Source organism: Homo sapiens, chromosome 9 (assembly GCF_000001405.40).
Source record: "Homo sapiens chromosome 9, GRCh38.p14 Primary Assembly".
Lineage (NCBI taxonomy): Eukaryota > Metazoa > Chordata > Mammalia > Primates > Hominidae > Homo > Homo sapiens.
In genome coordinates, this window is record NC_000009.12 from 18,691,944 (window position 1) to 18,706,110 (window position 14,167).

The 14,167-nt window shown below is 39.3% G+C and overlaps 1 protein-coding gene and 1 long non-coding RNA gene across 17 annotated transcripts in view; one reads left to right on the forward strand and one right to left on the reverse strand.

The window, feature by feature from the left end:
- LOC102724102 (uncharacterized) overlaps window positions 1-2,443 on the reverse strand; it is a 37,432-nt gene extending 34,989 nt beyond the window's left edge. The window contains exon 1 of the long non-coding RNA XR_428448.4: window positions 2,405-2,443. This is a non-coding gene — a long non-coding RNA (uncharacterized LOC102724102). The remainder of the gene's footprint in view (window positions 1-2,404) is intronic.
- The window catches only part of ADAMTSL1 (ADAMTS like 1), a 1,004,318-nt gene that overhangs the window by 785,311 nt on the left and 204,840 nt on the right, over window positions 1-14,167 (forward strand). The gene's annotated exons all lie outside the window — the stretch shown is intronic.

The window sequence follows — 14,167 nt, forward strand, 5'->3', positions numbered from 1 at the left end:
GATGTCTAATAACCACTTAATACAAATGGAGAAATTGAGGCAGCTGTTGTATCTGCCTCATACATCTTGTATCTAATGGCATTTGAGAGAGAACAACAATATTTAACTCAAAACTCAGCTAGTGGGTTCCCAGCTTACACCACCTTACTTCCTTTCTTCGTCTACACTTCTGAGGGTCTTTGAAGACTCACTTATAAGCACCATACTTTTAATTTAGCCCAGAGTTTATTTTTAAGGGACAAATCTTTATTTAAATAAAAAGAGATTTATGAGTAATTACAAAAATGAGTAAGAAAAGTTCAGAAGCTGCCTGGGTGAAAAAGCAACCTCTCTCTACTCTGAGTTAAATATACTTGATCTCCATGCGCAGAAACAGCAGAATCAATAATAAACTCAAGAGAGCAGATAGAGCCGTTTTTTTGTAGTCATTCCTTGATTGCAAACCAAGAAGTTCTAAATTTATCAGTCCCTCCCTCTGTCACCGCAGTTGCTCGTTCTGTGGCTACTTTCAGAAAGCTAAATCTGAACTGTCGCTTAGCAGAGCCCTAGAGAGTGACAAAGACAAATTAATGGGATCCTTGTGTGCCAAAATAAAGTATGCACCCTGTCACCACCAATATATGTTAAGTCCATTAAGGTCATTTTTAATGAACTGAACTTTTCATTGGAAAGCTTTGCCAAACATGTTGAATTAAGGGAAAGAAACCTCACAAAATTACAAGATAAACTAATTTCATTCCATGTAAAGAAGAAATGGTACATGAAAAGTATTGAGTTTCCAATATTTTAAATCTTTATCAAAGTCAGGGAAAATGTTATGCATTTAAACTACATTCCAATATTAAGCTGAGAACTACAAATGCAGTGATAGCATTGTAAGCTGTGATGGCATCTGAGTCCCTGGGATGTGGCCTTTTAAGTAGACTATTTGCAAGGAAAAGCAAATTTTCAAATCATTTTCTGTTCATTTAGATCAGAAAAGCAAAGAGAAAGAAAGATGGTCTGAAACAAGTGTCATATCCTCACTTTTCATTTCTGAAAGGAATAATTTGGCTTTATTTGTATCTGCTACGTGGAGTGAGTAGTCTTTCTTCCTTTTTTCCCAAAATTTTATGGATGTTGAGTTTTAAAAAGTAGACAAAAAAGACAAAAGCTCTCCTTTGGGTTTCTCTAACCTAGGAACAGTTCCAAAATGCTCCAGCGCTTCACTGCTGAGTAGCTGATGGCATGATAAGGCAGTGTTTGACCAGAGTCCTGTAAAAATTATTGAAGTCAGCATCTGTCTCAAAGCTGCCCCTTAATTTTTTTATTCTTCAAAATGACATTTTATTGATATTTCACTGAAGTGTGATAGACACAGAATTTCAACTTACCTCAAGCTACATGACTATCTAACAACCCATCAAGATGAAATTCGGCCGGCATATACTGCATAAGTATAACTATAAGAAATATAAATGAATAAGCCCACTGTGGCTGCTCAGTTTGGGTATAGTAACTCTAACCTTTTCCTGCTGTAGGAGTTTTCTTATGGTTTCTATAGCCATATGAAACTCCTACAATAGGAAGAGGTTTGTATTTCCTCATGCCAATGCCTAGAACAGAAAAATATGACTTAGTTTCTTAGAGTCTTTTGGCTGTTGCCTCTTTATCTAGCCTGGTTTCAGTCTTTGGCCCTAAGAATAAGCACAGTACCAAGTCAATCATAATATTAACTCTTATCCTTCTGTTTATCAATCCATTTATTTCTTTGAAAAATTATTTATTGAGCTGCTATTATGTGAAGTTCTACCTTCATAGAGATTTGGTCAAGTGAGGGGGACAATTATTACATAAAGATTTGCATTGTGATTATCAAAGACTGGTAGCTGTTCTAAGAAAATGGAAAGATGCTCAAAGATGTTAATAGGGGACCTATTAGGTCTGAGGGTCAGTGCATTAGTCTCTTCTCACATTGCTGTAAAGAGCTGTCTGAGACTTGGCAATTTATAAGTAAAAGAGGTTTCATTGACTCACAGTTCCACAGGCTGTGCAGGAAGCAGAGCTGGGGAGGTCTCAGGAAACTTATAATCATGGCAGAAGGAGAAGGGGAAGCAGGCACATCTTACATGGCTAGACAAGGAGGAAGAGGGCAAAGGAGGAAGTGCTACACAATTTTAAACAACCAGATCTCGTGAGAACTCACCATCACGAGAACAGCAAGGGAGAAATCTGTCCCCATGATGTAATCACCTTCCCCAGCCCCCTCCTCCAACACTGGGGATTATAATTTGACAGGAGATTTGGGCAAGGACACAAATCTGAGCCATATCATCCTGCCCCTGGCCCCTCCCAAATCTCATGCCCTTCTCATGTTGCAAAATACAATCATCCCTTCTCAACAATCTCCCAATTCTTAACTCACTTCGGCATTAACTCAAAAGTCCACAGTCCAAAATCTCATCTGAGACAAGGCAAATCCCTTCTTCCTATGAGCCTGTAAAATAAAAAACAAGTTAGTTACTTCCAGGATACAATGGAGGTACAGGCATTGGGTAAATACACGCATTCTAAACGGGAGAAATTAGCCCAAACAAAGGGGTTACAGACCCCGTGCAAGTCAGAAACCCAGCAGGGCGGTCATTAAATCTTAAAGCTCCAAAATGATCTCCTTTGACTCCATGTGTCACATCCGGGCCACACTGATGCAAGGGGTGGGCTCCAAAGGCCTTGGGCATCTCCACCCCTATGAAGTTGAGTGCCTGCAGCTTTTCTAGGTTCATGGTGCAAGCTGTCAGTGGATCTACCATTCTGGGGTCTGCAGGATGGTGGCCTTCTTCTCACAGCTCCACTAGGCAGTGCCCCAGTTGAGACTCTGTGTGGGGCCTCCAATCCCACATTTCCCATCCATACTGTTCTAGTAGAGGTTCTCCATGAGGTCTCTGTTCCTGCAACAGACTTCTGCCTTGATTTCCAAGCATTTCCGTACATCCTCTGAAATCTAGGCAGAGCCTCCCAAGCTTCAACTCCTGCCCTCTGTGCACCCAGAGGCTTAACACTATGTGGAAGCCTCCAAGGCTCATGGCTTGCACCTTCTGGAGCAGATGCCTGAGACATATCTGGAGCCCTTTTAGCCATGGCTGGAGCTGGAGCAGCTGGGACACAAGGAGCATTGTCCCAAGGTTGTGCAGGGCAGTGGAGCCCTGGGCCTGGCCCATAAAACCATTCTTCCCTCCTAGGCCTCCAGGCCTGTGATAGGAGGGACTGCCACAGCTCTGAAATGCCTTTGAGGCATTTTCCCCATTGTCTTGGCTATTAACATTTGGGAAGGGCTGCTGTGAAGGTCTCTGAAATGCCTTCAAGGGCATTTTCCCCATTGTGTTGGCTATTAAGATTTGGCTCTTTTTTACTTATGCCAGTTTCTGTAGCTAGCTTGAATTCCTCTCCAGAAAATGGGTTTTTCTTTTCTACCACATAGGCTGCAAATTTTCTAAACTTTTATTATCTGCTTCCCTTTTAAATATAAGTTCCAGTTTCAGGTTATGTCTTTGCTCATGCATGTGATTATATGCTGTTAGAAGCATCCAGGTCACATCTGGAACACTTTGCTGCTTAGAAATTTCTTCCACCAGTTACCCTAAATTATCACTTTCAAGTTCAAGGTTCAAGGTTCCACAGTGCCTGAGGTGCCTGAGACCACCTCCCCCTGGACTTCATTGTCCATATCACTAGCATTTTGATTACAACAATTTACCAAGTCTTTAGGAAATTCCAAAGTTTCCCTGATCTTCCTGCCTTCTCAAACTCTTCCAACCTCTGCCAGTTACCCAGTTCCAAAGTCATTTCCACATTTTCAGCTATCTTTATAGCAATGCCCCACTTCTTGATAGCCATTTTCTGTATTAGTCTGTTCTCACATTGCTATAAAGGACTACCAGTACTGGGTAATTTCTTTAAAAAGAGGTTTAATTGATTCATATTTCCACAGGTGGTACAGGAGCCATGGCTGGGGAGGCCACAGGAAATTTACAATCATGATGGAAGAGAAGGGGAAGCAGGCACATCTTACATGGCCAGAGAAGGAGGAAGAGGGCAAAGGGAGAGGTGATACACACTTTTAAGCAACCAGATCTCTTGAGAGCTCACTATCACAAGAACAGCAAGGGGAAAATCCACTCCCATGGTCCAGTCACCTCCCACCAGGTCCCTCCTCCAATATTGGGGATTACAATTCAACAGGAGATTTGGACAGGGACACAAATCCAAACCATATCAGCCAGCAAAGCCCTCTTTGAGAAGGGACATATATACTGAGACCTGAAAGATGAGTGGGAGTTATTCCAAACAAAGAGAAGGGAAGAGGGTGATCCAGGGTGCAACCCGCCCATGCCAGAATCTTGAGTCAGGAAAGCATTGACCACATTGAAGGAAGTAAAAGAAGATTAGTGTGGCTGGAGAGAGTAGTAACTGGGGGAAAATGGTGGGAGATGAAGATGGAAAATGCCGTAAGATAACCAAGATAACCTTGGGAGAAAGTTTGTCTTTTTTACCTGGGGACAGTAGGAGACAATTAAAAGCTTTACATTTTAAGATTCCCCTAGCTACATCATTAAGAACAGGTCAGTAAGGAGTGACAGAGGAAGAAAATAGACCAGTGGCTATTGTGGTAGTCCAGCAGAAAGACGATGTTATCTTCAGTGATCAAGGTATGCGTGGCAGCCCATGGCAGGACAGTGAGGTGATGAAGAGCACCAACTGTGGAGCCAGCCTGCCAGAGTTCAAGTCCTGACAATACCATTTACTCAGCAGTGTGGCCTTAGAAATCATTGTATTCCAATATTATCATCTAGAAATTGAGATGAAAGTAGTACTATTAAAATATAATTTTCAAAAGGGTACAATCATAAGTCTCATGAAAATATAAAATAATCACATGTCAAAAATATTATTATTATTATTATTATTATTATTATTTTGAGATGGAGTCTTGCTTTGTCGCCAGGCTGGAGTGCAGTGGTGTGATCTCAGCTCACTGCAAACTCCACCTCCCGGGTTCAAGTCATTCTCCTGCCTCAGCCTCCCAAGTAGCTGGGATTACAGGTGTGTGCCGCCACACCCAGCTAATTTTTGTATTTTTTTTTAGTAGAGACGAGGTTTCACCATGTTGGCCAGGATGGTCTTCATCTCTTGACCTCGTGATCTGCCCACCTCAGCCCCCCCAAGTGCTGGGATTACAGGTGTGAGCCACCGTGCCTGGCCAAAAATTTTATTTAACTCACAAATTATTGAGGAAGCCAATGTGATGTTAAAACTAGTTCAAATGAGAATTTGATTTAGAATAAAGTATATATTTTCTACCAGACAAAACCATTTGCAGTGCCATGAACAGAAAAATACATATATTATTATGGACAAGAAACATCTGTATCACCACCAGACCTCTACAGGGAAACTTCTATCTCTATGGAGTTGCAAAACAGACTAGCAAAGACCATCAAAGGCTCCTAATTCCATAGAACAAGACCACCCCTGGAAATTTGCTAGAAAATGCCAGCAGTTCGTTGAAAAGACAACCAGTAATCTCTTTTGCCTATTTCAAAATGTTTCCAACAGTACCCATCTCCCAACAATGTCATAATGAGTTGTATATGTAAAATGCATAAAGCATGTAAGTGTAATGTTCACTTATTATTGCTATATTAAGGTGGTGGTAATGGAAATGGAGAGAAGTAAATGAGTTTATATATATTTTCAAGGGAGAATTTAGAGAATTCGGCAATCAGTTGAAAGTGAGATGTGAAGGAAATTGAGGGGTCAAGAATAACTCCTGATTTTTTACTTGAGCAATTAGGTAGCCATTAAAATCCTTTGCTGTGGTGGAGAAGATTGGAAGACGATAGGGTTACTGAAGGGAGAAATCAGGAGTTCCATTATGGACATTTTAAGTTGGAGATTGAAGCTGCCTTTGAAACTTAAAAGCAAAAATGTCAAGAAGGAAAAAATAGCAATGTGAAGTAGTTAAGAGCACAAAACCTTACTAGTTGTGTAACTTATGCTTCAGTTTCCTCATCGGTCTATTAAATGGTAATAATAATAGTTTTATCTGATAATGTTCTTGTTCAGATTTAATAACTTTTATTTATAAAGCACTTAGAGTAGTGCCTGGCACATAAGAAACACTAAATAAGTTTTTGATAAATACATTAATTAAATTAATGTTTACTTTTTTCAGAGAAGAAAGTTCTAGAATAGAGATTAAATTCTTAGAAGCTTCATGTACACTGATGGTATTTGAAACTAGGAATCATTGATGAACACATTGGAAGATAGCACAAAGCCAAGTCCTGAGGCACTGCAATATTTTAATTTTTTTTTTGAGACAGAGTCTTGCTCTGTCACCTAGGCTGGAGTGCAGTGGCATGATGATCTCGGCTCACTGCAACCTCCACCTCCTGAGTTCAAGTGATTCTCCTGCCTCAGTCTCCCAAGTAGCTTGGGCTTGCAGGTGTATGCCACCATGCCTGGCTAATTTTTTGTATTTTTAGTAGAGATGAGGTTTCACCATGTTGGCCAGGCTGGTCTTGAACTCCCGACCTCAAGTGATCTGCCAGCCTCGGCCTCCCAAAGTACTGGAATTACAAAAGTAAGCCACCATGCCTGGACTGTGCCACTGCACTCAGCCAATATTTTGAATTTGAGAATAGAAGGACCTAGAAAAGGAGACTGAGAAGGAAGTAACCAGAGAAGAAAACCAAGAGAGTTTGGTGTCATGTAATTCAAGAGGAAGAAGTATTTCAAGAAGAAGTACTTGCAAGCAATGGTCAATTATTTTGAATGCCATTGGAAATGAGACAGAATGAGGATTAGATTTGTTAAGAATAGCAGACAGTAAGGCCTGTGTTCTTAGAACCTGATACCAATCTTCCCCCTGGCCTTTTTCTTACTGTTAAAGAAAAGCAGCCTCCTGATGGTCAGTGGGACCCTCCGTTAGTAAGACTCCTTATAATGTCTTGTCTAGAACCATATCAGAGAAAAGAGAAGGCAGAACTTCAAGATGACTTCAACAAAGTGCTCAAACATCAAGATCCCAGGCTTTGAAAGAGCCAGTAGTCTCTGGATGAATTGGAACTTTCAGAGAACTCAGCCCCTGCAACATTTTCCTCTAGCATAAAGTCTCTTTGAAAGGAAAATGTGCTCTTTAATGCAGTCAGCATTTTGTTTTTTAACCCAACTTCCATCACTGAGCATTTTCTGCAAGAAAGACATTCAGGCATTCTTGCAGAGAGGCCAGCTGCCTCTCAACCCAAAAGAGCGTCATTGTCATGAGAAAAAGTCTGTTTGTTACTTGGAAAATGCCTGTAAATATAGCTTTTCCATGTGTTTTGCTGGGTTTTTTACTTTTTTTTTTTTTTTTTTTTGAGAGACTGGGTCTTTCTTTGTAGCCCAGGCTAGAGTGCGGTGGCACAATCAGAGCTCACTGTAACCTTGAACTCCTGGGTGCAAGAGATCCTCCCACCTTAGCCTTCCTGGTCACTGGGACTACAGGTGTGTGCTACCAGACTCAGCTAACTTATTATAATTATTATTGGTAGACATGGGGTCTTGCTATATTGCCCAGGCTGGTCTCAAACTCTTGGCCTCAAGTGATCTTCCTGCCTTGGCCTCCAAAAATGCTGGGATTACAAGTGTGAGCCATAGTGCCTGGCCACTTTAATATGTTTTTTAAATTAAGTTCTTCTGTCAAATTATTACTGGTTAGCAATATTAGACAGGGACACTCAATCTTTTTCTTTTCAAGTAGTTGTATTGGTGGCTGCTTCAAAATTATCATTTGTTTTATTTTAATTTCCAGGATCATTATATTTTTGATTATTCTCCTGGGGCACCTTACAGTGCTGAAGATGCCTCATAGCCTAGGCTTGACACTTGAGGATTTGAGAAATCTATGAAAAGAAGTGGTGCTGTCAGATGTTTTGAGGAGTGATGTCCTAGAACCTTTGAAAAATTTTGCTTAGAGACCTCAATATGAGTTGCATAACTAGCATGATTTATTTGCAGTTCCAGAGAATTGTAAACAACAGCAGTTGAGAAATATTTTCATAATTCCACATTCAGATTAAATATCCTTGAGTAAAGATATTTCCTAATAAGTTAGATTCTCATTTATGTGGAATGATTTAGGCGTGGTTCTAAGTAAATTTAGAGGGATATTTTGGATAAGTATTATCTCAAAACTTTAATGCTCCAGCTATATTTTAAGAATGCCTTAATATTATAGATTTTACAAGTAATTTTAAAATTCCTAAAGTGATTCAATTGAAGAGTTTCCCTTCCATTATAGCATTCCAAATGGTGTTTGCTTACTTATTTTAGAGGGTTTATTTAAAACTTTTTTTTGACATCATTGAGAGGCATTAAATAACTAAAGAGTTTTTACACGAGATCTTCTCATCTCATGTAAAAATGGGAAGTAGATAAGAGTAGAAATACAAAGAAGGTGTTTCCTTTTCTCTCTTCCAAGTTTCTTTCTCATCCAGTAGTAATTTTTTCCCTATTTATCCAAAAGCCTCTTCAGATGCCAAAATGTGCAGCTTAGGTTTAGTTAACTGCACTTTATCCTAAGGTTTTTACTCCATTAATGTCTCAAGGATTGCCCAGAATCAGGGGAAGGATCAACTTTTCAAAGTTTAAAAAATATATATAAGAATGAAGATTGGGTTAAAAAATGATGAGGCAATATGGAATTACATATTTTACCAGTAAAGTATGTAAATTTTTTGGTCCTAAATAACATATTTATGGAAAAGACTTGATTCAGAGTAGAATTACTTATGACATATTTTCTTTTTCCAATATACTATTTTCCAGATCCCTCTGTGGCCACTTGTTAATGATAAGATTTTTAAAAGGGAAAATCCATGATTCTCATGTAAATATAAAATGAACATCTGACAAAGATTTAACCTACCTCATTAACCAATGAGGGAACCAATAAGATGTTACAGCCAATTCAAAGGAAGTTTAAAAACCCTATTTATTTAGGCAAATATGAATGCCCAAATGAATTTACAAATAGATGCAAAATTGGTCTAGCTACAGGGCAACAATCAACTGCATTCCACTAGACACAGTTAATCTGTATTTCTCTGGGCAGGAATCATTTGCACTATCAATTTCTTGCCACTTAGAGGGTGGTAAAATATAATAGCTCAAAGTCAATGAAAGGCTAAGACAACCTAGGAAGAATGCACTTAACAGAGTTATCCAGTAATCAGTAATCTTTTGGGTTCTTTTTTTTTTTTTTTTTTTTTTGAGACAGAGTCTCACTCTGTCACCCAGCAGGCTGGAATACAGTAGCAAGATCTCAGCTCACTGCAACCTCCACCTCCCGGGTTCAAGCAATTCTCCTGCCTCAGCCTCCTGAATAGCTGGGATCACAGGCTCACACCACCACACCTGGCCAATTTCTGTATTTTTAGTAGAGACAGGGTTTCGCCATGTTGGCCAGGTTGGTCTCAAACTCCTGACTTCAGGCGATCCGCCCACCTCAGCCTCCCAAAGTGCTGAGATTACAGGCATGAGCCACTGTGCCCGATTTTAAACTCTAATTTTTCTCACATATTATTCAGTTTATTCCCTTCTCTTTTCTCACCCTACTGTCATGCCACCACTCACATACACAAACATACACCAAATCAAACAGGTAAAGAGAAATCCACAACCTCTATTGGCTCATGGCTTGAAATGTAATAAGATTGAAAACCTATACCTAAATTGAGTATTTTTAATGAGACTTCCTGCATGTTTCAATTTGCATTTTTAAATTAGGGCATGAAACTAGTGATAGCATCAAAATAAGACACCTATAAAGCTGTTTTTATTTTTAATAATCCCAATGATTTTTAAAACAAACATATATGAGAAAGGAAGAGAGAGGAAAGTAATAGGATAAAAGGAAAAGTTAATTTTCACATTGTATTACTCCATTTTCACATTGCTGAAAAGACATCTCTGAGACTGGGCAATTTACAAAAGAAAGAGGTTTAATTGGACTTACAGTTCCATGTGGCTGGGGAGGCCTCACAATCATGGTGGAAGGCAAGGAGGAGCAAGTCACATCTTACATGGATAGCGGCAGGCAAAAAAGAGAGCTCGTGCAGAGAAACTCCCACTTTTAAAACCATCAGATCTCATGAGACACATTCACTGTCATGAGAACAGCACAGGAAAGACCCGCCCCCATGATTCAATCATCTCCCATCAGGTCCCTCCCACAACACATGGGAATTATGAGAGCTACAAGATGAGATTTGGGTAGGAGCACAGAACCAAACCATATCAAATATGTTAGTTACAGGCCATGTAGACATACACCTAGAGGCTAGTGCTAGCTAATATCTGTGGTGACACGAGACTAATCAACCAAGAGTAAGTTGTTTTTGTTTATCAGTATATTAATAAAGTGATTATTTTTATTATTTCAGTGCATGCTTCTAACTCTATACTAGTCACTAATGAACTTTTAAACCATTTAGGGATTTTATAAGTGAATTTTATTGTCACTGTTTTCTATTTCATAAAAGAGACTATGGTAATTACTCTAATTAAAGAATATATTTTTTTCTTAATGAAAGGAACAATTAAGCTTGCAAATAGAAGGCCAGCCAGAAGCATTAATCATTCATTTGCCAGGTGTGGTTTGTTGTTGTTTTAATTTCCTGAGAAGGAAAGACTAAATACAGAATTCATATCAGTTACTTGTGAAGTTTACACCCATCTTTTAAAGAAATAATTTGTCAAACCATTCTTCATTCATCCAACAGTAGTGTTGCTAACAAAAAGAGTTTTTTTTTTTTTCAAGCCGGAGTCTCACTCTGTCACCCAGGCTGGAGTGCGGTGGCACGATCTTGGCTCACTGCAACCTCCACCTCCCGGGCCCAAGCAATTCTCCTGCCTCAGCCTCCCGAGTAGCTGGGATTACAGGTGCCTGCCACCATGCCCGGCTAATTTTTGTATCTTTATAGAGACAGGGCTTCACCATGTTGGCCAGGCTGGTCTCAGACTCCTGACCTCAGGTGATCTGCCTGCGTTGGCCTCCCAAAGTGCTGGGATCCCAGGCGTGAGTGCCCGGCCGACAAGAAGAATTTTTAAACTTCCCAAATTTTAACCTTTTTATTGTCCATTTTTACATGAAAGTGATTAATGTACTGATTTAAAAACAAAAAAAAATTTCCCTCTATTTTAAAGGTCCCTCTTTAAAGCTTCTAGCTCAGCAAGTGCTGTTCGAGATGAGACTTCTAAACATTAGAATTAAACCTCCTAACTCACTTGCCTGCCCTCTCACTGACCTCGCTTCCTCCCACTTGTGGCCAGAAAACTCAAGATAGTAAATACAGAGCTGGGAGATCTAGGGACTTGGGGAAAAGCCTCCTATGAAAAACAGTTATTATTCATTTGTCCATTTGCACTATCAGATATTTTTCTTTTGAAACATAATCTCCTGCCTTCAACAAAAGAGACTATATTATATTATACACTGTATGCACTAGAGAAATTAAGATGACTGCCAAAGGACAGCACCACTTAAAAACCAAATTGTTTTTAATTGGTGTGAACTCGATGAAGACCTAAGGATAGTGGATTGGGAGATAAGCCAGTGAGGCTGTTTTACATTTGATAAAACTCTCATTTGGGAGACATAAAACAGATGTTTATTGTTTTTGCTATTAACCCTAGATGTCTAGATAGTAAAAAATTACACACGTGCATGCGCACATACATATATATATATATATATATATATATATATATATGTTTTAATTGAAGCATGATGCCTTAAAATAACTTTCAACCATTGCAACAAGTTCATGGGGCTTCAGTAGAATGGCCTTTCTATTTTATGTGCTTTTGGTATATCTTCTTGGTTCTGGAATGACATCAAATGCAAAGTCATTTATATTATAGACAAGCAGAGCTAAGAGTCTAGTTTGTGCATCATTTATATTCTAGATCTTATCTGGGGCTCGCTTTGAAAACACAAATCAAGTTGGCTACTTGTCATATTCCATAAGCTTATATATGTGAAAAGAGATGGAAACTAAGACCTAAAATAAGTTTGAGGATTATCTATAGATCTCAATGCGTTTGTATCTCTACCAAATGTTTTTTTCTATAGCAGGGGTTGGAAAACTACAGTCCACAGGCCAAATCCAGACCCTTCCATCAGCATCCCATCACACCCTTTTTAAAACTAAAGTTTTATTGGAACACAGCCACACTAATTTGTTTACATATTTCATTCCACAATGGCAGAGTTGAGTAGCTGCAACAGAGTTCACGCAGTCCGCAAAATCTAAAATATTTTCAATCTGTCCCTTTATAGAAAAAGCTGGCCAGCCCTTGCCCTGTTATAATGGTTCCTAAAGAGGGCTCTTTATAAGCAACAGAACCATAATCCTTACTGCATAGAAAAAGCTGGTAGGGTGCAGTTCTTTTTGAGATCTTGCCATCTTTCTGATTCGAAAACAAAGTTTGGTACCACACTATTAAAGAAGTATTATTCATCACACCATTGTCAAAGTTAGCAGGCTAATCATTTGCTTTTGTGTCTTCTTACATACAAAATAGTTGAGCATGCATTTTCCTTTGTGTCTGCATCTGTGTGATAAAATTAAATGCTTGTGTATCTGTTATGATTCTTGTCACAGGAGCCAGGTAGGTGGATGTGGATGTGTAATAAAAGGGTTAAAATGATTTTGATAGCAGTTTTTGGTTTTATGTTCCTAAAAAGCTCCTGCAGGGGTCATTTTTTAAAGCAAGAAGACTTTTTAATCTTTTAGGATACCATTTTTTTCCAAGTTCTCTAGGTGCAAAAGGTGGAACAAAGAAGTTAAAAGGGTGAGAGGGAGGTGAAATTGTGATGAGATTTTCTTGGGATAATTCTGGGTGGCCATTCTACCCTCATCCACCTTCCTGACAAGGTTATATGGGGACCTTTGTTCTCTCCTAGTGGATGACTCTTCAAAGGTAGCTGGGGTCAGGCCTTTTTCAAAGGGTCTCTTGCCATGCCTCAGAGCACTGAGTGCTGCTTTGGGGGAATTCTTATCTTCTGAGCAGACCACCCCTGTTCCACATGAAGCCCAGGCTCAGGCCCAGGACACATCTTTGTTGTGTTCCTTCCAGTTTGGAAATTTGGATTGGCTTGCTATTAGAATTTCAATTTCCCTGAACCAGATCTGAACCATTTGCACTTGCTAGCATTTAATGCTATAACCTTCTTATCAGTTCTTTCATTGTCTGCCAAAGTCAAGGTTAAGGAGCCAGGTTTGCATGCCTCTGCAGCACGACTCCCTGTGAGAAAGCAATAGGATCATGGAAAAATGAAAAATAAAAAATAAAAAAATTATCCCAAAGTTTTTGTCTGAATTACACTAACTTTTTGAAACTATTAGTGGTTGCTTCTGGGCTTTTTTTTCCTAGGCCCCTCTCAAGGTCATTATAGTTATGGCCACGGTTGATTAATGAAGATGGGAGGACATTTTTGGAGATTTGGGTATTTTTCTACGTTCTAGAGAAAAACTCAGAAGTTCTTACTAATGTAGCTTGTTTTAGGGGACTGGGTGTGAGGATGTTGAGCACACTTGTCTGAATGCAAAACCTCTCATTTACAGTGGTATGTGTGGATTTACATGTGTAGCACGGCTTTTCTCTATGATATAAAAAGAATTGGAGCTCAGACTAATTCAAAGAATGTGTAACGAACAAGACTTTGCACCATTCTTGGAAACTTACACACAAAAATACCTCCTTATACATATAAATAAATCTCGGGAAGCATATTGAACAAAGAAAGTTACAGAATATGAGAGCCAGACTAAAAAAGAAACAAACTTCCTTAAATATCTCCAAGGGCTTATTTTGTTATCAGTATCAGTCTGCTATAAGAATAGCCAGCAACTTGCAGGAGGCACAAGTGATGGAGTCACAGGGCAAACCCCAAAACTGAGGTCCAGCCTGGGTGGGACCTCATGGGTTCTTGGCTTCATGCAGGAAGGAATTCAAGAGCTAGCTGACGAGCAAAGTGAAAGCAAGTTTATTAAAGTAAAGGAATAAAAGGGTGGCTACTCCATAGGCAGGGCAGCCCTGAGGGCTGCTGGTTGGCTATTTTTATGGTTATTTCTTGATCATA